The sequence below is a fragment of the Homo sapiens genome, chromosome 12 (genome assembly GCF_000001405.40).
Source record: "Homo sapiens chromosome 12, GRCh38.p14 Primary Assembly".
Classification (NCBI taxonomy): domain Eukaryota; kingdom Metazoa; phylum Chordata; class Mammalia; order Primates; family Hominidae; genus Homo; species Homo sapiens.
In genome coordinates, this window is record NC_000012.12 from 29,618,861 (window position 1) to 29,642,678 (window position 23,818).

General features: G+C 40.5%; 1 protein-coding gene across 10 annotated transcripts in view, besides 1 other annotated feature; it reads right to left on the minus strand.

Moving 5' to 3' along the window:
* Positions 1–23,818, minus strand: part of TMTC1 (transmembrane O-mannosyltransferase targeting cadherins 1) — a 283,947-nt gene that overhangs the window by 118,048 nt on the left and 142,081 nt on the right. For all 10 annotated transcript variants that reach the window (NM_175861.3, XM_047429634.1, XM_017020005.2 and 7 more), the window contains one exon: positions 14,287–14,476. In NM_175861.3, coding sequence (NP_787057.2) covers positions 14,287–14,476 — 190 coding nt within the window. The remainder of the gene's footprint in view (positions 1–14,286; positions 14,477–23,818) is intronic.
* Positions 21,303–21,853: an enhancer, noted in NCBI's record as "H3K27ac-H3K4me1 hESC enhancer chr12:29793096-29793646 (GRCh37/hg19 assembly coordinates)". NCBI's record gives its function as "activates a minimal SCP1, AML or CMV promoter by ChIP-STARR-seq in primed H9 embryonic stem cells {active_cell/tissue: H9 hESC(primed)}" and the evidence as "EXISTENCE:reporter gene assay evidence [ECO:0000049][PMID:30033119]".

Sequence of the window (23,818 nt, forward strand, 5' to 3'; positions counted from 1 at the left end):
CTAGATGTTACAAAAATATCTTCTGACATTTGTCACAGTTTAAAAACAATCAGAAGCATTGTCTGCTAAGTGTTAATGAGCTGTTTTTATGAAAATATGAATCATTATGAGAAATAACAAATGTAAAAATTAAGATTCCTTCTCAAAAGGTGGCACTTGCTCTGAGTAATAATATAGACTATGAAATCTCACTGAGAATCACAAAGCATACAAATCAGGGGAAAAAAAAACTAAAGCTGTTAGTGATGTCTGATAACTTCTTTTTCCATTATACCACTATCTAAGACTCACTAATAAACTCAGTGAGTCTTCCAACTGGGGGGTAAATAAAAGAGGGGTAGGTAAGTCATTTTCTTATTAAATAGTGTGACTTGTAAAAATGTAATTGCCTGTGAAGGCAAAGAAAAAGACAAATGATTTAGCGATGTGTAAAACTTTTGCCAGGCCTAGATCAAAAGCCAAGCAGAGCACTCCAGGTACAACTGAATGGTATATTCCACATGACACGAGGAAAGAGGATTTGTAAAAGTTTCAGCTCCAGAACAAGGAGAATAATTTTACAGGTGACATATTAATAATTGACAAAAAGGCAGGTCTTGGTAAGACTGCTCAAGGGCCACTGATTTTCAGGTAGCTGCTGAACAAAGGGTTGCATTTCTAGTGTCCACGTTGTTCCAACCCCTGATACTGAGGGGAATGGAGAAATCCAGCGATGGTAGCATGATGTTTTATGAACAGCAACAACAAAAATGATTTTTTTCTTAAATCCTGACTATTTTCACAAAATTTTCAAATACCACTAAAGCCATCCATAATCTTTCTAAAGTCTGGAGCTTTAGGTGATAGTTGCAATAGCCATTTGTAAATAAGTCACTAAATTTCCCATTCTTCCTTCCCCTTGATAAACGTTCAGTCTTAACAGAGTGATTTTATGTTATATTCTGCCCTTCTGTTACATTTGAACATACTACCTTCCCGAACTATGCTTCTGCACTTAAAACCTGCACTTAAAAGTGTGTTACTACTATTACCTCTTATGTCAAGAAGTTAAAGAAGCTCCCTGTCACTCAAGGTAAAGGATGAAGGGAGGTGGGGAGGAGAGCATTAACTTTTATAAGCAATAGTAATATCAAACATAGATTCTGGTCATGGAAGCATGCCTGGACTTTGAAATACATCGACTCAAGAAAAGGCAGTCAATTGGATTTCTTTTAATAAAGGCTGATATTTCTACAAAATGGAGACAGGATCCCTCATTGTACTCCTGGGTTTAAGCTGTGAGAATTTCATGATGCTGGAACAACACAGGGCTCCTCATGTGTCAGCCTCCATACTGAGTGTTTCATGTGGCTTGCCCTGGTCCAACCACAGTTGGTGCAGGGAAGATCAGAGAGGGGCCCACACAGCTATGCAGTGGCAGAGTCTGGCCTCAGACTCAGCTCAGTGCTGATCACTCCCCTCCACAGCCTTCCCTCCCCCCAGCCTTGGGACTCTCAATCTGGAATCTGGGCAACACAACTCAACATGCATGCAGGAGCTACCCCCAACACAGAGGGGACTGGCTTCCACTTGAAGTTGGTGGTAAATTTAAAGTGAACTAAATTAATTATTGAATTTCATGTGAGACTAACAAATGAAATCGAATGACAATCATAAGTCTGATACAGTATGTATCACATATGGTAAAGCAATGACATAAAAGTATGTGGGAAGGTCAGTACAATGGATCTTTAAATATGTTCCATTTTATAATGAGGTACAGATCCAACTTCTCTATTTTCTAACACTGCATCAAATGAAGTGGTGAGCTCATTTTCAAACTCTCATCAGAAAGATGATATGAAGGAAAATCTCAGCTTTGGAGCATGGCCTATGGGCCAAAGTTGACTAAAACTACTGAGCTGGAAAACTGTGACCCACATAGCAGAACATTATCAGCACAGGAAAAAGGTGGCAGGTGGAGAAGCCAGCTGAGAGCAGGGAGAAGAGGCTGCATCAACTGGGCTGGTCAAGTCTCAGACAGAACAGCATCTCATACAATGGCTACTCTCATGGCACTGGTGGTCGGGGTCAGAAGGACCGTGGCAAGGCATCATCAGGGTCCATCTATCGAATACTGCAGTGGTCTCCAGGCAGAACAAGATGGATGGGTTGTAAATGGGCTAGAAAGATTGGATCTATAATAGCACGAAGAGGATTTTCATGAATTGAGGTTACAAAAAGAATAGAGAATGTGCTGTTTGCAAAGAATGGGAACTGAAAAGAGGAATGTAGGCCAGAGGAAAAAAGAAAAATCCGTGTTGGCATAGAGCCATTCACTATTAAATGCAACCTTCATTCCCCAAGTTCAATTTTATTTTACCATTCAGTATATTAAAACATGATGCTTATTTTACCAGGTTTATAACTGCTATTCTGGAATTTAGTGATCCTTGTGCCATAATACCATAACCTATTATTTGGCTGAGCTAAATGCAAAATAATTTCCAGAAATCAGCAAGTGTGTTCAGTTCAACCATATGGATCTATGGTAGTACAATGTTGTACCCCAGGGAATGAAAAATGTATGTGACAATGATGAAACTGAATAGTTGTGAAAGACTGCATGGGCAGCAAAGCTCTAAATATTTACTACCTTGTTCTTTTTTTAAAAAAAGTTTGCCATTTCTTGGTCTATCCTACCGTATTGTGTTTATTCCCATAAGCTTCTCCAAGTCCTTTTTGGAATGAGGTGAGGATGCCAATATGCAAATAATCACTTTCCAATAGTGGCTTTCGTTTTGATCTTACCTTCTTGTTGAGATGTGTGGGAATTTTATTTAAAGAGAGCTCACAGGCTGACATTCTCTGTTTATCAGCTCTGTGTGGTGTTGTGGTGAGTAGGTTGATGGGGTCTGTGACATGGACCAGCATGGAGGTAAATCCAAAGTGAGGATGAGAACAGGCATGAAGGGAGATCCCTGAGATGAGAAGGCCCTCCCTGAGTGAGGAGCTGCATTAGCCCTACCCCACCCCTACCCTCCATTTCCACCAAGTTGTTGCTGGTCGTCACCTCTACCAGTCAGGTTGCAGATTTTTCCCCACATGGACATGAAAATTTGGCTTGTTTTCTGGGGCTCGGTGCCACAGCCTGTGATTTGTGTTGGTTGCTAAACTATCACCCTACTAAAAATTTAAAAAACAAATAAAAACCAAACCCCTCAAACCCATACCTATGAGGTGAAGGGAGGGGAGAGACAGGACTTCCACTGCCCAATGTTCATTCTCAAAAGACATCTCATGACTGAGGCTATTATTAAGAAAGTCAGGTATCAGTAGCCCACCTCTTTTTCTCTCATGTTTTTCTTTTACAAGTATGCTACAAGATTATAAAAGGTATAAAAATACCTTAAAATCTCAAGACACTCTGTGAGAATGTAATAAAGAACCAATACCAAATAAATTACTCTTAAATATAATTTAATGGTGTTTCCTCTGTAATGCAGGGAAACCACATTAGAGAACACAGGAAATTGGGAACTATAAAGAATAGGACTGACTAATAGTATTAACTGCTCTAAATAATCCAAATTAGACTGGCTACTTTCCTGATATATGTCACTTTTTATTGCAAGTCAACAGTCTGACATAAAGTCTATAAGAGCCATAAAGAAAAACTCAAGTGCATTTTCAGCCGTGGTTCTCCTGGGGCATACACACTCACTATTCATAGAAAAGAATGGAATATTCAGCCTTTGTGGCTTAAATATCCTTTAACTGTACATGCATTCCCACAGAGTGATTACCCTCATCACAAAGGGTCAGAGCACATTAGTTCACTTTAAAATTCATTGTTAAAAACAATTCGATCCAATAAGAAATTTCTAGATTGTTCTCTACATTATGTAATATAAATTCAAATGCCTTTCTAGAGAATGAATGGTGTGTGAGTAGAAGGAGGAGATGAAGGAGAGGCACAGAACGAGATAAATTCTACTCTTAAATTCTCAAAGATGCCAACTGAGCTCTTCCGTGATAAATAATAAACTACTCCATGAGGTCTTAAATTTCGTATGCCCTGAAAATAAGACAAACTAGAAACAATCTCTAAATTCATTGTGTGGTTATTTCTAGAGAAAGGAGCATTTAGATTCTGTATTCTGCCTCTCCCACTCAATTCTGGACAAGATCTTGTCAAAAGTAAAACATCTACTCTTTGAGTTGCTTACCCATAGAAACAGTTCAACTAGAGATGGAAGTGGCCTGGAATAGTCTGCAATGTGTAATGGTGTCTAACTTAACTTACTTCTAAAAAAGAAAGAATTTGTTTTTGTTTTGCATAGTTATAAAAATGTAGAGGAACAGATATTCAACAGAGGCCTATGAAGAGCAGGCTGTGGGGATTGGTTTTGACAGATGACACACCTACTGTTTTACATGACTTAATTTGTCTTACATGCCTTAATTTGTAGTTTTATAAAGTTAATTACTGAAATGTTAATAAAATGCAAATAAGTAAAATACAAATGCATTAGGAAAGAGTATGCTCCCACCTCCACCTATCTGGTGTCCTGGTTGATGATGAAATAGGAAGCAAGAAGAAGGTTTTTGGTAAATTGGAGAAGAAACAAAGATTATAAGCATATATCTTGCCCAAAATGATGCAACAAAACTGGTTAATATTAGTAAAAGAGGCCAGGAGCTGTGGCTCATGCCTGTAATCCCAACACTTTGGGAGGCCGAGGCGGGTGGATCACAAGGTCAGGAGTTTGAGACAAGCCTGGCCAACTTGGCGAAACCCTGTCTCTACTGAAAATACAAAAATTAGCCAGGCGCAATGGCGGTCACCTGTAATTCCATCTACTCAGGAGGCTGAGACAGGAGAATCGCTTGAACCCGGGAGACGGAGGTTGCAGTGAGCCAAGATTGTGCCACTGCACTCTAGCCTGGACGACAGAGCAAGACTCCGGCTCAAAAATAAATAAATAAATTAAATTAAATTAAATTAAATTAAATTAAAAGCAAGATATGCATGTCTTACAAATCTCTAGTGACTCTAAAGCTGTCCTTTTCCTTCAGTCCCCACCTCCTGCACTCCATGGACACACACAGAAGCAGCTAAAAGACCTGGATTCTCTGTCTTGTTTTTGTTTTTGTTTTTTGAGATGGAGTCTCTGTTGCCCTGGCTGGAGCACAGTGGCACAATCTCGGCTCACTGCAACTTCTACCTCCCAGGTTCAAGTGATTCTCCTGCCTCAGCCTCCTGAGTATCTGGGATTACATGCACCCACCATCACGCCCAGCTACTTTTTATATTTTTAGTAAAGACAGGGTTTCACCATATTGGCCAGGCTGGCTTCAAACTCCTGACCTCAAGTGATCCACCCTCCTTGGCCTCCCAAAGTGCTGGGATTACAGGCGTGAGCCACTGCGCCCAGCAAGGACCTGAATTCCTTTCTCTAGTCTTATTTCCTCCGCTGGCTTGGGCCCACCAAGAAGAAAACTAAACAAAACAGAGCCAGAGGTCAGGTGGAAGAAGTATGGCAAGGGAAAGGAAAGTAGGCGAAGGCTTAAAAAGATAGAGGTTTGATACTGTGTGTGCTCAAGGTATCACACACAGTATCGCACACACTCGCTCCTTAATCACACTGATGTCAACTCATATGGCTGTACCCAGCCCACTTGGCTCCAGCCATCTCAGCCTCCTTACTGTCTGTGATGGGTCTAGTACTTTCCTGCCTCAGGGACTTGGCACTGGCTTTCCCTGCTCTTGGAATGCTCTTCCCCAAACAGCCACATGGCTCACCCTTGCACTTCCTTCATGTCTCTGCTCTAATGTCACCTTATCTGTGAGGCCAGCCCTGACCTCTTCGCATCACCTAATATTTGACAAATCAAGACATATTTTAAGTGTTTAACTGTAAGCTCCATGCAGGTGGGACTTTCATTTTGTTCACTGTGCTAATCACAGCAACCAAAAGGCACTCAATCAATATTAAGACAAGGACAGAGGAAAAAGTAGTGAAGCTACAAAGAACATATTCTCCTTTCAATATAAGCCAAGGTTGTTTTCTATGATTGAGAATCAATCAAAGGTGAAAATGAAAGATCTTTCCATGAATCTCTGGACTCACTGCATACGCTTGTTTATTCAGTATTTTTTTCTTGGTAATATATAGCTTCACTATCTCAAAATTTATGGATATAATCAGGGATTATAAAATAATTTCAGCTCGATACTTGCTGATTCAGTACACAACTCGTTTGGAAATATTCCAGGTGGACCGACCTGTGCTTATTCTGCTGACATTATTATAAACATTTCATCTATTGTTTCTTTTTAACACAGAACAATGTCCATAAAGCATGACCTCTATGTTCATAAAAGTTTAATCCTCCTGTTTACTGCCTCAGATTCAAAGCCCTTACCATCATGTCCTTAGAAGTTCATCATCACACACACACAAAACAGGATTATTCCCACTTCGAGAGGTTACTAACTAGTAGGAGAACCTGACTGTAAGGCCTGATTCCTATCTCCCTTCTGGTGTGTAAGCAGATCAAGAAAAGTGAAACCAGGCCACAAAAACATGAGCAAAGCTCTGTCTCCAACCTCTGAAAGAAGAAAACCTGGAGAGTGTAAGTGGCCAAGAATTGCCAGAGGCTCTAGTTAAACGGTTGCAAAGAATGTTCAAGATGAAAGCCACTACAGAAGAGCTCAATCTTAACTATCCCCACAGCTGGAATGTTCTGCTAAGTTTTTAGGATGCATTAAAGTGATTTTGAAACAAACTCCCTGAAAGAAAAGGATCAACAGCCTTTCACAGAGGAAGTTTCCATTCATTCATCATGTTATCAAAGACACTCTGGGGAGGGCCAAGACTTGCCTGTGTGCAGGGTCTACTGCCATCATGAGAGCTTATGTTTAACACACTTGACCGAGATGACAGCCTGTGGGGAATCACCAGTCCCCTTAATTAGCTGGGAGAAAGTCAAGAAAAACCCTTTCTGACATACCCATTCAGGCTCCACTATATGTGCTCCTGCAGATCAGTTACAATAGAGCAGGCACACCAATCCATGAGCTAAGGTCAGATAATAAAACAAACCTCATATTCACCCCTAAATATTTCATGCGGCTGTTGAGCACAGTGCTTTTCAAGCCTTTAGATATATGTCTTACAAGAAAAGATTCTCTAGACTAAAATCTATTTGAACAGAATTGCTAACTTTTTGCAGTTTTATTCATTTAGATAATAGATACTGAGTGGCAAATTTAGATAATAAATAAATAAAATTTAGGTAATAAATATTGAGTGGGGCAAGTTCTTAGTGATAGAAGTATGGCAGTGAACAAGACAGCAAAAAATATTTGTCCCCATGGGGCTCATGCTCTGGTTGGCAGAAATAGGCATTAAGTAAAATAACCAAACTATATAGTATTTTAGAACTTGAAGTTTAAGTGAAGGGAGTTAAAAAGTAAAAGGGAGATAAAGAAAGGAGTAGAGAGTATATGACTACATTTTAAATAGGATGGTTAAAGTAGACCTTACTAACAAGGTGAAATTTGAGCTCAAGTTTATGTAACTAATTGGCATGCCAGAGTTTCTTAAGGATGGTTATTTACATGATCCTTGCTTTATAAAATTCATTTACAAAAAGATGTATCAGATGGTTACTTTAAAATAAGGTGTTTAGGGAGAAAGAATACCCTCTTCAAAAAACGATGCAGAGAAAACTGGATAAGCACATGCAAAAGAATGAAGTTGGATCCCTACTTCACTGCACACCCAAAGATTAACTCAAAAATGAATCAATGACCTAAATATAAGAGCTAAAACCACAAAACTCTTAGAAGAAAACAGTCATAAATCTTCATGACCTTGGATTTGGCCATGTATTTTTAGATTTGACAATAAGAGCATGATAGAAAAAGAAAAACATAGCTAAATTGGACTTCACAAAAATTAAAAACTTTTGGTCAGGCATGGTGGCTCATGCCTGTAATCCCAGCACTTTGGGAGGCCATGGCAGGTGGATCACTTGAGGTCTGGAGTTCGAGACCAGCCTGGCCAACACAGTGAAACCACATCTCTACTAAAAATACAAAAAATTAGCTGGGCGTGGTGGTGGGTGCCTGTAATCTCAGCTACTCGGGAGGCTGAGGCAGGAGAATTGCTTGAGCCCGGGAGGCGGAGTTGCAGTGAGCCGAGATTGCGCCATTGCACTCCAGCCTAGGTAACAAGAGCGAAACTCCATCTCAAAAAAAATAAAAAATAAAAAATAAAAACTTTTGTGCATCAAAGGACATTATCAGGAATGTAAAAGGCCAACCTACGGAATGAGAGACAGTATTTGCAAATCAAATATCTTTTAGGGGTTTAATATCCTGAATATATAAATAATTCTTTACAACTCAACAACAAAAAAGACAATCCAATTAAAAAATGGGCAAAGACCTAAATAGACATTTCTCCAGAGAAGATATAAGGATGGCCAATAAACATATGAAAGGATGCTCAACTTCATTGATCATTAAGGAAATGCAAATCACAACCACAATAAGTCACCTCTTCAGACTCAGTAGGATAGCTTTAATTAAAATAACAAAAGATAAATAACAAGTGTTGGTTGGGATGTAGAGAAATAGGAGCTCTTGTACATTGCTGGAGGGAATGCAACATGGTACAGCCACTACGGAAGTTTGTCAGTGCTTCAAAAAGTTGAAAACTTAATTACTTTATGACTCAGCAATCCACTCCTAGTTATATGCTATAGAGAAATGAAAACATATATCCACAAAGAAACTTGTACACAAATATGTACAGTAGCATTATTTTTAGTAGTCCAAAAAAAAAAAAAAAAACCATCGAAAGTAGGAAAACATTGAATGTCCATCAATGAATAAATGGATAAGCAAACTGTGGTATATGCTAAAGGTATTAAAATATTCTGGCATATTTACTTAAATTACTTGAATATAAGTTCATAACATTTGAAAAACAGCAGGTGCAAAAAGATCACTTTGACCTTCTTGTTATTTCTTAAAACAGAAAATGCAATTCCCATGTGAAAGATGCCCTCCCCATACCAAAAAGACGCAGCTTCCTTATCCTCAAGGATGAGAAATATAACCAGAGAGAATCATGTGCAGACCTTGTTAAAGTAACTCTTATCTTCTAAGCTTCCCCACATAATTTAGTTGTACCTTCACTATTTACTATTCTTTGTCCAATCCAGCTTATAAATAATGGACTTCAACTGCTTCTTTGACTCTTTAATTCTTTATGAGGGCATCTGTGACATGTAAAACTTGTATTACATAAATGTGCATGTTTTCTCCTACTTATCTTATCTCAACTTAATTAGTGAACAGAAGCGTGACCCTAAGTGGATGGTGGTGGAGTTTTTCTGCCCCTACATTACATACAATGAAATATTATTCAGCCATGAAAAGGAACAACGTGGTACAACTTCAGTGAACATCAAGAATATGGTGTTAAGTGAAAGAAGCCAGACATACAAGATTACATGTTTTATTACTCCTGTAAACAAAAAATAAAACTCTAAGGCTTCCAGCCATCTGAATGGACCCCTCCTCTTGCTCGAGAGCTTTCCAGAGTTACCTGAAAATCTAGTTCAGGCCATGATGAAAGAGCAGGTTGGACATACCTCATTATATCCCACCAGCATTAACGTCAACACAGACTTTATAAGAAACATTTACAGTCTATTCTCTCTAAAGCCTGCTACTTGGAGGCTTCATCTGCATGGTAAAACCAAGGTCTCTACAACCCTTTATTGTAACCCAAGCATTCCTTTATTTTTTATTGTTATTTTTTGAGACAGACTTCGCTCTGTCACCCAGGCTGGAGTAAGTGGTGCGATCTCGGCTCACTGCAACCTCCACCTCCTGGGTTCAAGAGATTCTTCCACCTCAGCCTGCCAAGTAGCTAGAAGTACAGGCGCACACCACTATGCCCAGCTAATTTTTGTATTTTTAGTAGAGATGGGGTTTCACCATGTTGGCCAGGCTGGTCTTGAACTCCTGGCCTCAAGTGATCTGCCTGCCTTGGCCTCCCAAAGTGCTGGGGTTACAGGCATCAGAGACTGCGCCCGGCCTCAGGCATTCCTTTCTATTGATAATAACTCTTTCAACAAATTGCCAATCAGAAAATTTTTAAAGCTACCTATGATGGGCCGGGCACGGTGGCTCACATCTGTAATCCCAGCACTGTGGGAGGCCGAGGCAGGTGGATCACGAGGTCAGGAGATTGAGACCATCCTGGCTAACACAGTGAAACCCCGTCTCTACTAAAAAAATACAAAAAATTAGCCGGGCGTGGTGGCGGGCGCCTGTAGTCCCTGCTACACGGGAGGCTGAGGCAAGAGAATGGCGTGAACCCGGGAGGTGGAGTTTGCAGTTAGTGGAGATGCGCCAATGCACTCCAGCCTGGGCAACAGAGAGAGACTCCGTCTCAAAAAAAGAAAAAAAAAAAGCTACCTATGACCTGGAAGTGCCTCCACCCTTCAAGTTGTTCTGCCCTCCCATATCGAGCCAATGTATGTTTTACATGTATGATTGATGTCTCATGTCTCCCTAAAATGTACAAAAGCAAGCTGTACCCCTACCACAGAGGGCACTTGTAGTCAGGACCTCCTGAGGCTGTGTCACAGGTGTGTCCTTCACCTTGGCAAAATAAACTTTCTAAATTGGCTGAGGCCAGTCTCAGACATTTTGGGCTCACACTCCTTTTATATTCTATACCCAGAATAGGCAAATTCATAGAGACAGAAAGCACATTAAAGGTTATCAGGGGATGGAGGAGGGGAAAGCTGAGAGTGATTACTTAATAAGTATGGGGGTATTTTATGGGGTAATGAAAAAGCTTTGAAACTAGAAAGTGCTGGCAGTTGTATAACACTGTAAATACACTAAGTACCACTAAATTGTACTCTTTAAAATAGTTAATTGTATGTTATATAACTTTCACCTCAATTTTAAAAAGATGTTTTAATCATTCAAATTTTTTTCATTCAATTTTCAGGATTGGCCTTATGTTTTGTGTTTAAATTTCAGTTCTGTATTCATTCCAGCCTTTTACCTATTTGCAATATTTAATCGTTTTTTATACTTTATTGAGGTAAAGTTCCCATACAACAAATTCACCCATTTTAAGTTATATATTTTGGTGAGTTTCACTACCACAATCATATTTTAAAAAGCATAAAATGTTATTTCAAGTTATAGTCAACCTCCAACCCCACATGTTTTCTGTCATTATAATTATGCCTTTTTTAGAGTTTCACATGAATGGAATCATATAGGGTATTTAGTTTGTTTTTATGCTGCTATGAAGAAATACCCAAGACTAGGTAATTTATAAAGAAAACAGGTTTAATTGACTCACAGTTCTGCATGGCTGGGGAGGCTTCAGGAAACTTACAATCATAGTGGAAGGTAAAGAGGAAGCAGGGACCTTGGGCAGCAGGAGACAGAATGAGTGCTGAGCAAAGGGAGAAAAACCCCTAATAAAACCATCAGATCTCGTGAGAACTCTCTCACTATCACAAGAACAGCATGTGGGTAACTGCCCCCATGAGTCAATTACCTCTCATGGGGTCCCTCCTATGACATGTGGGGATTATGGGAACTACAATTCAATTTGGGTGGGGACACAGCCAAACCATGTCATATAGCATACAGTCTTACATGTCTGGCTTCTTTCACTTAGCACCATGTTCATCCATGTCTGTCCACATTGTTTTATGTATTCGTAGTTTGTTCCCTAAAATTTCTGAATAATTGATGACACTGAGTTCGTCCATTTGCATGTTAGGTCATTAGATTTTTCCCACTTTGTCTGCTATTATAAATAAAGCTGTATGAATATTCACAGACACGATATTCATATGGGCAAGTTTTCATTTCTTTTCAGTAGGTGGAGATAGGTAGAGCTGTTTAATTTTATGTTTAACTTTTTAAGAAACTTCCAAATTTTTCCAAAATGTCTGAATCATTTTTTATTCCCATCAGTAATGTATAAGGATTCCAGTTGCTCCACAGTGGCCAACGCTCAGTGTTGGGAATCTTTTTAATGATAGTCATTATAGTGAGAGTATAATGGTATCTCTTTGTGGATTTAATTTGAAGTTCTCTAATGACTAATGATGCTGAGCATCTTTTCATGTATTTATTAATTAAAAACTTTGCATATCTTCTTCTGTGCAGGGTCTACTTGGATCTTTTCTCCATTTTAGTTTTTGCCTTGTTAATCTTGAGTTTTAAGAGCACTTTTAATATTCAGATACAAGGCCTTTGTAGATTTATGTTTTACAAATATTTTCTCCCAATTTGTGGCTTGCCTCTTCATTTAATTCACATTATCTTTTGATGAAAAAAATATTTAATTTTGATGATGTCCAATTTATCAACTTTTTCTTTTACAGTTTTCACATTGTGTTCTAAGAAATATTTGCTTAAGTCAAATTCACAAAGATTTTCTCCTTTTCTTTTAGAAATTTTGGTGTAATTTGCTTTTATTTTTAGGACTATGATCCACTTGGAATTAATTTCTGTATACTGTATAAGGTAAGGGTTAAGATTCATATTTTTTCCTTACAGATATTCAGTTACATTTTTAAAAGACCATCCTTTCTCCATTGAATTACTTTGACAACTATGTCAAAAAACAGTTGATCCCATTAGTGTGGATTTAGCCCTGAATTCTCAATTCTATTCCATTTCCTATTGACACTTTTTAAAAAACTGAGTTTGATCACACACTCCTGTTTCTTCGTATATCTAGTAATCGTTGGTTAAACTGGGTGTTGCATGCCACACATTGTAGGGACCCTGGATTCTATTTTGTTCTTCTGAAATTGTTGATTTTCCTGTTTGAATACATTTGATGAGTTTCCATAGACTCAAACTGGAAAATCTGTTTCTCTGCAGAATGCTGAAATTATTACTCAGTTCTTTTTTCTTTTGCCTGGATTTCTGGGGATTTCTCTTGTGCCAACATGGCTTTGTGATCAGCCAATGATTTGGGCAGAGGTTATACATGGATAACTCAAGCCAGTGAATTTTCCAATCTCTGCTGCTCAACTCGTGCACGCATTGAAGAATGGATTCAAACTTGCAGCAAGTAAGTCTCCCAGGGCTTTTAATTTTGCTTGTGCATATGTCATTTAACAGCCACGAATGCATGGAGAGTATATTACCTCTGCCCTTTCATATTTCTCTTGCTTCCAAAACTTTCCCCTTAAATTTTTGCTGCTCTGTTTCTTTCCCAAACCAAATTTTTCCAAAATTGTAAAACTTTCCAAAGTTTACCAGCCAATTCCAACCAGTAAACTTATTAATTTTTACTGCTAGATCTGACAGGATGGAAAGACCTTCAGGTAAAAGCATCTTATCCAATGCAGTAGCAGTTTTTCATAAGCAAACATTTTCAAGTTCTTTGCTGAAATGATTTGTCTGTGTCACTACCCAAATCTCATCTTGAATGGTAGTTCCCATAATCCCCATGTGTTGTGGGGATCAGGTGGAGATAGTTAAATCATGGGGGCAGTTTCCCCCATTCTGCTCCTGTGATAGCGAGTTAGTTCTCACTAGATATAATGGTTTTATAAGGGGCTTTCCCCTTCCCCTTCACTGGGCACTCATTATTCTCTTTCCTGCCACCTTGTGAAGAAGGACATGTTTGCTTCCCCTTCTGCCCTGATTGTAAGTTTCCTAAGGCCTCCCCAGCCCTGCATACCTGTGAGCTAACTAAACCTCTTTCATTTATAAATTATCCAGTCTCAGGTATGTCCTTATAGCAGTATGATAATGAACTAGTACATTTGCCTTTGGTCTTTGGTCATTTTTGAAATAGCTGTTTTTAGTAATTTTGTACAGTTTTATACTTTTTGGGGAAGTAGTGGGAGAAATCATCCAACTACCCCTGGCAGTCACTCATGAAAGTAGAGTCTTAACCATATTTTAAGCATTTATAAATAGGTTATTTACCACAATTTCATTTATCATTATATTAAGTCAAATAAATTACTTTGAAAATCAGCCAACCACAGTAGTAACCTCTCATTTACAAACATTAAGCTTCAGTTTCAATACAGGGTTAGTAGAAACAGTCAAAAAATCTATAAGGTGGCCATGGTATGTTATTACCCGCTACAAAAAATTTACATAGACAAGGAGAGGAGATTCAATTTACACCCAGACCATCCGCACTAAAAAGAACATTATAGGCATAGAATATCTGTCTTCAAATGCAGAGTTCATTCTACTTTTGAGAAAATTACCTTAAAGGCTGCTAAGCAGTGCAGGCTCAATAAGGCCATCACAACCGCCAGAAAGATGGTGGCTAAGTTCCGCATGTCCCATATGGTCTCTACCAGAGGAATACTGCCGACCTGCCAGTCATAGCACAGGGTCACGGGTGCAAGCAGAAGCCACACATTGAAGGCCAAGAGGTAGGAATAGGTGAGGAATCTATAAAGAGAAGAAGAATCACTGAAACACTGCTCAAGAACCATGACATTCTGTAAGCGTTCAGTCACCATATTTTTATTAAATAGCATTTCTACCCAGTCAATGTTATCTTGGAGGAGAAGACAAGGGAAGATGGAAAGCCATTCACTCATTTATTCATTAAATTGATAGATTTGGGATATATCTAATAGGTTCTAGCCACTCTGAGGTGCTGACCTTTTAATGGTGAACAAATACAGATACAGTTTCCATGACATATATTTTAAAATTATCATACAAATAAACATATTACAACTGGAAATGAATGCTAGGAAGGAAAAGAGACATTTGAACTGTCCCTTCTTAACAGTGCCCAGAATTCTGCAGTAGATTTGAAAATATTTCATCATTTTTATATTACACTGATCTATATTGAGTTATTTCAAAAAATCAAAATATTTGTGGTATGGAGATAATATGTGGTAGGAGGGAAACTGCAGGTGTCCTTGCTGACAAGGACAGCCAGGTAGACACAGGGACAATGGATGGAGGAGGTGTTATGCCTGTTTCCTGGCTGCCACTAGGCACTAAGGTAAAGTGGAAGGCATTCTAGTTGTTCCCCTCACTTTGGGGGTAGAGAAAATGGAATTTATTTAAATTCATTCAGTCAACACACTTATTAAGCAGTGTTCTAGACCCTTGAGAACTGCACATAACAACTTTGTCCAAATCTCTGCATTAGGAGACAATCAAACTCTAGCATAGCCTCAGCATAAGGCTGTGTCCCTGGGATGACCCCAGCCCCTCATTAAAATGCTTACCTGAGAAATGCTGTCAGGAGAATTTATTATTTGCTCTAGTCAACACGTTACAACATGCCCCCAACCTCCTTTTTTTTTAAACAGCATTTACAAAAATGTGCTTATGACTGTGAATACTTAATTCTTACAACACAGAAGCATCTCCCTCAAGGACCCGAGAGCCATTCCTATGGAATGTAATCATCAGGAAGGACAGAGCCTCTGCCTCCCAATCTCTGGAAGCACAGAACTTTAACTTTGAGAACTGTCAGCCAGTGGGCACAGTCGGCCTAATTGCATCTACAGGGACCAATGCTCTGTAAGTCTTCACCTCTCTGACACTACTGAAAACCCCCACTCCACCCACTCCCTCACCCTCCCTTTGAAAGGCCCAGTCACCTCTGCACAAATCAGAATGAAGCTCTGCTCCTTCCCCTACTGTCAGTAGTGATGGAGTGAAATCGGTGTTCACTGCTTCAGCTCATATCTGATTGTGTTTGTCAACTTATTTGGGATCAAACAGAAGAATTAGATGAATTCATTGTCCTCAAGGAATGTATAATCCAATAGTGAAAATAGGACATACTGAATTAAAAAGGCAGAAGGAAACAGATGAACACCATAAGAGCACAGACTGTGAAGAAAGTTTCTCCCTCATTTGTCAGGTTCTTTTAGAGGGAATCTTGGATTGGCAAAGACATTAGATGAGATAATTTCCAAGTTACTTTCCAGTGTGAAGCGTCAGTTCACCCTGAATTCCTGTCAACAAATAGCTACTGGTTTAGAACACCTTCTCAGTTCTCTCCTCCCCTCCTCTGTTACTCTTTGAAGGTCAGTGGTAGAAAGGAAAATCATCCACAGCCATCAGGCTGCAGGGCAGGAGGGAGATTATTTACCGCTCAGACTCTCAAACCCCAACAAAGACATGGGTTGAAAGAGGCATGGCTATTTAAATGATGTTCAACTCTTTCCCCTCTGTTGTAATTTTTAACTAAAAGGTAATATACAAATAGAGTAGTATATACTGAAAGTTTGATAAAGTCCAGGCTTTGTTATTTAACAACAACAAAAAATGCCAAAAAAAAAAAAATGCCGTTTATCTTTCAGGCTTGGGCCTGCGACATTGTCACCTGAGAATGCCATCTCCACAGGAAAGTGATTGGATCATTTTGGGCTCCTTTTTTCACAGACCTTTCAGGCTGATGCCATCTACCTTTCAGCCCACTAAAGGTTCTCTATGACTTAGCTTTTCAGGTAAGTGGTGAACCATCAAACTTAGAAGAAAAAATTGGGTAGCTCTGTCTCTCAGTCACATCCCAGCTCTTAAAAATGACTTTAAAACTATTATTGCCTTTTTGAGGAAATAATGGATCTAGGCATGATCATCAATGACTGCTTAAATTATCAGGTGAAAAGCCGATGAGGTCCTTTATTTATAATAGTTAGGTCAGGCTAATTCAGGTGCCTAGAACTGACTAATCAACTTTAACATCACTGAAAGGGAAATAAACAGTCTGATGTCCTCCTGATGGAAATAAACACCATGCCTATGAGGTCAAAAGAAAAAACAAAATCAAACCTGAACTAATCAAGTCCTAAATCTAATTATCAGTTTATAGCAAACACAGGAAACAACAGAACATGCCACATCACACCACAGGGATGCAGTGTGCAAAATCCAGACTGTGGGAAACAAAGGGCCCAGATTCTTAAACAAGTACGTTGTAATTATGGGAAGAGAAGGAGGGAGAGGGCATTTGCAAATTAAAAGAAACTTCAGAGACATATCAAGCAAAGCACAGATTTTGTTTGGATGCTAATTCAAAGAAACCACTATTAAAAATAACCACTTAGGACACCGTCAGAATAAACTGAAATACTGATTGGAAAGAGGCAGAATTGGCTAGAGACAATCACTGTTAAAGTGTGATAATAGTATTGTGGTAATTTTTTTAAGAGTGCTCGTCTTTTAGAAATACATACTAACATACACACATATGAAATAAGATGATGTCTGGGATTTGCTTTAAAATAATTGACGAAGAGGAAGGGAAAGAAAGTAGGTGGGATATGGATGAAACAAGATGGCCTGGAGTTATTATTGAAACTGGAAGATGGCATGCATGTGGGGTTCTTTATGCCACTTTCTCTACTTTTTAACTAGGGAAAAAAGGCAATAGAATTGCAATAGTAACACTTTCTTATCTTATTTCCACCTACGGCTTGACTATGGAACATCTGGAACTGCTATGCAGAATGTATTATTTAATTTTGAGTTTACGTTTTGGCCTTGCTCTGCAAGTTGACCTCAGTTCTTTATGTCTTCTAGATGTGCAATACTGTATTGACAAAAAACAAATATAACAAAAATTTTTTAAAGTTACAATCTCAACATAGTTATTTACATGTTACCAAAAGAAAAATGCTTTCACGGTGGCTCATGCCTGTAATCCCAGCACTTTGGGAGGCCGAGGCGGGCGGATCACAAGGTCAAGAGATCGAGACCATCCTGTCCAACATGGTGAAACCCTGTCTCTACTAAAAATACAAAAATTAGCCGGGTGTGGTGGTGCGTGCCTGTATTCCCAGCTATTTGGGAGGCTGAGGCAGGGGAATCTCTTGAACCTGGGAGGTGGAGGTTGCAGTAAGCTGGGCATGGTACCTCATGCCTGTAATCTGAGCACCTTGGGAGGCCTAGCTGAGAGGACTGCTTGAGCCCCAGAGTTTGAGATAAGCCTAGGCAACACAGCAAGACCTCATCTCTACAAAAAATTAAAAAAAAAAAAAAAACTTAGCTGGGTGTGGTGGCACACACCTGTAGTCCCAGCTAGTCCAGAGGCTGAGTTGAGAGGATGGATCACTTTAGCCAGGGAGGTCAAGGCTGGAGTGAGCAGTGATTGTGCCACTGCACTGCAGCCTAGAGCAATAGAGCAAGATCCTGTTTCAAAATGAAACGAAACAAAATGAGAAACACACACACACACACACACACACACACACACACACACAAAAGAACAACAGTAACAACAAAAACAAAGAAGCCATTTGGAATCACTTCAAAAGCTAATTACACTGGAGATAGGGGGTGGAGGGGATAGTTCAGCTAGCTGTCCAACAGCTACAGTATTTCTTTTTAATTCTTTCACTATGAATTACATTGAAGCAAATCATCCTGTTTATTTCTGCTATAATTTCAGAAGCAAAATAATCTGTCAAATATCTCTGCCCCGCTGTGTTATCTTTTTTAAAGCAAGTGCAAAACCAAAATGAATTATTTACCAATTTTCTACCACAAATTCTGTGAACAGAAGGAAAGTCACAAGAATATCTTGCCAACAAAATGGAATATATGGCACAGAAAGCCAGGAATTCAGCTTAAACAATTTAGTCATGCATTTTCATTGATAAGCCAGAAAAGAGTAAAGAGGTTTCATGGCCGAAAAACATGAAAGGGAAAGGCAAGCTGGAGCTGAGGCTGTGGGGAAAATGGCATTCATCAAATGGCACCTAACAAAACTGTGTGGCTCTTCACATCTAAATTTTCATTTTTATCGAGAAAAAAATCAAAGTGTTTTAAGTGCAAGAATATACATAAATTCTGTTCTCTGCCTCAGCAAAAACCTATCTGGCTAAGAAATGACATGAGCCTAACATATTTCTTTGCCCTAGAAAGATGTCTATGATAGGTACATATGAAAAAATCAGGTACTGCAAGCAGAAATATATAGTTCTTGCTTGCTTTACATAAAAAAGTTATTGCTCATAGGATCTTTCTTTTACTTTTGCCTACAAAATCTTTTATCATTTTATAAATACAGGACATTGGGTCCACTGTACACACTCACCTCCTCTTAGGAAGGCCATTTGCCACCTGTCAATATGCCACTGGTGAGGAGCACCCCACCCGGCCCAGACTCTACTGATACCGCTGACATGGGAGGCGGGCAGGGAAGTGCTGGGTAGAGAAGGGCGGGGTCCCTGGCTAGGGCTCTACCCTCAGGCTTGGGCTCACGGACCTAAGTGAGAACAGGCACTCCTGTTTTCGTGCCCAAATGTTGCATTTTCCAAAACCCCTCTGGCCCACCATGACCCCCATCTTGTGCCCATAAAACCCTGAGACCCTAGCGGGCACAGATACAAGTGGCTGGACATCGAGAGGAGCAGAAGAGCTGAAGAGCACGCCGACAGACCCCAGCAGACACTGGCAGGACATTGATGGCTGAATGACATGGAATTCAGCTGAGGGTGATCGGCTGGACTCTAGGGAAAGACTACCTTCCCACTCCATCTCCCTTCTGGATCCCCATCCAACTCACTGAGAGCTACTTCTACCACTCAATAAAACCTTGCACCCATCCTCCAAGCCCACGTGTGATCTGATTTTTCTGGTACACTAGGGCAAGAACTCAGGATACAGAAAGCCCTCTGTCCTGGTGATAAGGCTGAGGGTCTAATTGAGCTGATTAACACAAGCCGCCTGCAGACGGCAAAGCTGAAAGAGCACACGGTAACACACACCCACTGGTGCTTCAGCAGCTGTAAACACTCAACCCTAGATGCTGCCAGGGGGTTGGAGCCAAAGACTCTCCCCATGACCGGCTGGTCTGCATGCTTCGGCTAAGGGTTTGAGCAGCAGGGCACCGAAGAATCGAGCCACTCCCCCATCACACACCCTGCCAGGGGGATAAGGGAACTCCTCCCGTTTCACCACTAGGTTTTGGTGATCTGTCCTGCTCCCTCCCAGGCTGCTGCCTGTTTTCATCCTCATAACTCCTGAATTACCATTGATGTTTCAAAGGGTCTCCACCTCACTGGGCCCCAGCCATGACAGGCCTACACAGGCATTACCTGGTAATTACTGTCTTTAGCATCTTCTTCCCCTGCCCATAACCTTCTCCAGAACTATCCAAAGAAAGCTACTTCCTGCACTACCCTCCTCAATACACAGGGAAACTTCACTTGAATTCATTAAACATTGAATAATTATCCCGTACGCCTTCCTAGGTGCTAAAGGGTAGTATGATCTAGCCTCTGCCTTCCACAACAGCATTTTCGCTGCATTGCTGGTGAGAACACACACACATTACATAGTTGAGAACAGTGTAATATTAATATCAAACTTCAATGGAGTTCTAAGAAATGATAGATTAATGAGAAATGGAAGATGAAGGGAAGACATCCTAGAATCTCCACAGAATTTAAGTAGGTGGAGAGATGGGAGATAGTCCAGGCAGGGCCACCCAAGAGTAATAGCTTCAAATTGTAAATAAACATGACATTTTTAAAGAACAGTTATGAGTACAGGATTAGACATGTATAATATAAAAATGATAAAAATTACTACCAGTAGAAAGTCTAAAATAAAATATCATGTCAAATGTCAGTGAGGATGAGCAATTAGAACTTTGAAATCCTACTATAAATTGATTAAACCACTTTGCAGAACTGTAGGCAGTTTCATGAAAGCAAAATAAATGCATATTTCATGAACTAGCAATTCCACTCCTAAGCAATTCCACCCAACAGCATTGGACACAAGTGTTTACCAAAAGACATTTAGAAGATTGTTCATAGCAGGACTTTTCTTAATAGCGCCAAACTGGAGACAACTCACATATCCATCTACAATAAAATGCATACATACATTATGGAATATCCATGTGATGGAAATCAATTCAGCAATGAGAATGAATGCAACAACATGGAGGAACCTCACAATGGTAATGTGGAACAAGCACAGAAGACACAAAAGAAAAGGAAATCAAGAAAAACCATCTATAGACAACGATATATGACTGGAAGCAGGACCTGAGCTCCAGGAAACAAGGCTGGTACTAGAAAGCCACAGGCAATCCCCCAGTGGAATGGATCATGTAAAAGCCAGCAAAGTAGAAGGTGCTAGATAAGTGCTATGCCCCCATGGGGCATTCCGGGGCCGAGACCCATCAGTAGTCCTGAACACTTGCTGCTTCAGCACCTGGGACCCATAGAGATAGTGAGACTATTTCCAAACACCCGATGAAAGAAGAAAAGAGAGCCAAGCAACTCCGACAAGCTTCTCATTGTGTTCTGTTAAAGTTCCTCTGGCTTACAAGGATGAATGGTCCAATTAACCGAGCTCAATTAAAGGCGGAGACTATTTTTAAAATTCCCAGAAGAGACGTATGGTGAGATCACGGCAGACAGGAGGCAGGAACAGATGCAGCTGTGGACAGAGCAGCGAGGGGGGGCTCACATTGTGAATTTTAGCTCCAGATTGATTGCAAGAACAAATCAGCAATCCCAAGAGGACCCACAGACCCTCTTAAGGACCCAGGAGACCCCCCACAAAACTGTGAATGCCCCAACAGTGGAAGTGGGAAAGGGAGACCCTCCTCTCCCAAACACGTCCCCCACAACTGGAGAAGCTGAAGGTCTGTTTGTGGGAGAAGTTTCTGACTTTACCTGGAGCTGAGTCAATTTGGAGAGCCAAGTGAAATACTGGGGTAGAGGAAGCAGCAGAAAGGCCCTGGGAGCTCGCGGGCTCCCCTGGCAGGCCGTTCCTGCCTGGAACCACAGGGATCCAATGGGAGAGAAGCAGGGGATAAAACTACACAGAGAGAAGGAAATCTCTAGCTGAACTTTGTAACAGTTTGAACGGGGTGAGAAGCCTCCTGGCCAGAACTCGGGGGAGGGTGCAAATCTGATGTGCAGACTCCACAGGCTAGGGAAGAACCAAGCCCTTTTCTTATGCAGCTGGGAGGCAGACAGCCTCATATCGCTTACGGTCTGGGGGTTGTTGAGGGGGGCATGGTGGGAGTGAGACCAGCCCTTCGGTTTGTGTGGGAGCTGGGTGAGGCCTGTGACTGCCGGCTTTCCCCGGCTTCCCTGACAACCTGCATGACTCAGCAGAGGCAGCCGTAATCCTCCTACATACACAATTCCAGTGACCTAGGAATCTCACTCCCAGCCCCCACAGCAGCCACAGCAAGACCCGCCCAAGGAGGGTCTGAGCTCAGATATGCCCAGCCCTACCCCCACCTGATGGTCCTTCCCTACCCATCCTGGTAGCAAAAGACAAAGGGCATATACTCTTGGGAGTTCTAGGGCCCTGCCCACCATCGGTCCCTCCCTATACTAGCACAGATGAAGCTCTCTGGAAAGCACCACCTCCTGGTAGGAGGCCAACCAGCACAAAAATAGAGCATTAAACCACCAAAGCTAAGAACCCTCATGGAGTCCATTGCACACCCCAGCCACCTCCACTGGAACAGACACTAGTATCCATGGCTGAGAGACCCATAGACGGTTCATATCACAGGACTCTGTAGACAACCCCTGGTACTAGCCCAGAGCCCAGTAGATTCAATGGGTGGCTAGATCCAGAAGAGAGACAATAATCACTGCAGTTTGGCTCACAGGAAGCCACATCCATAGGAAATGGGGGAGAGTACTTCATCAAGGGAACACACCGTGGGACAAAAGAATCTGAACAACAGCCTTCAGCCCTAGACCTTCCCTCTGACAGCACCTACCCAAATGAGAAGGAACCAGAAAACCGACCCTGATAATATGACAAAACAAGGCTCTTCAATACCCCCCCAAAAAAATCACACTAGTTCACCAGCAATGGATCCAAACCAAGAAGAAATCCCTGATTTACCTGGAGAAGAATTCAGGAGGTTAGTTATTAAACTAATCAGGGAGGGACCAGAGAAAGGCAAAGCCCAATGCAAGGAAATCCAAAATATGATACAAGAAGTGAAGGGAGAAATATTCAAGGAAATAGCTTAAGAAAAAGCAATCAAAACTTCAGGAAACTTTGGATACATGTTTAGAAATGTGAAATGCCTTGGAAGTTCTCAGCAATATAATTGAACAAGTAGAAGAAGAAATTCAGAGCTCAAAGACAAGGTCTTCGAATTAATCCAATCCAACAAAGACAAAGAAAAAAGAATAAGAAAATATGAACAAAGCCTCCAAGAAGTCTAGGATTATGTTAAATGACCAAACCTAAGAATAATCAGTGTTCCTGAGGAAGAAGAGGATTCTAAAAGCTTGGAAAACATATTTGGGGGAATAATCGAGGAAAACTTGCCTGTCCTTGCTAGAGATCTAGACATCCAAACACAAGAAGCACAAAGAACACCGGGAAATTCATCACAAAAAGATCTTTGCCTAGGCACGTTGTCATCAGGTTATCCAAAGTTAAGGCGAAGAAAAGAATCTTAGGAGCTGTGAGACACAGAAGCACCAGGTAACCTTTAAGGAAAAACCTATCAAATTAATAGCAGATTTCTCAGCAGAAACCCTACAAGCTAGAAGGGATTGGGGCCTTATCTTCAGCCTCCTCAAACAAAACAATTATCAGTGAAGAATATTGTATCCAGCAAAACTAAGTATCATATATGAAGAAAAAAAAGTCTTTTTCAGACAAACAAATGCTGAGAGAATTCACAATTACCAAGCCATCACTACAAGAACTGCTAAAAGCGGCTCTAAATCTTGAAACAAATCCTCAAACAAATCAGTAAGAAAAATAAAAAATAGGCCAGGCGCAGTGGCTCACGCCTGTAATCCCAGC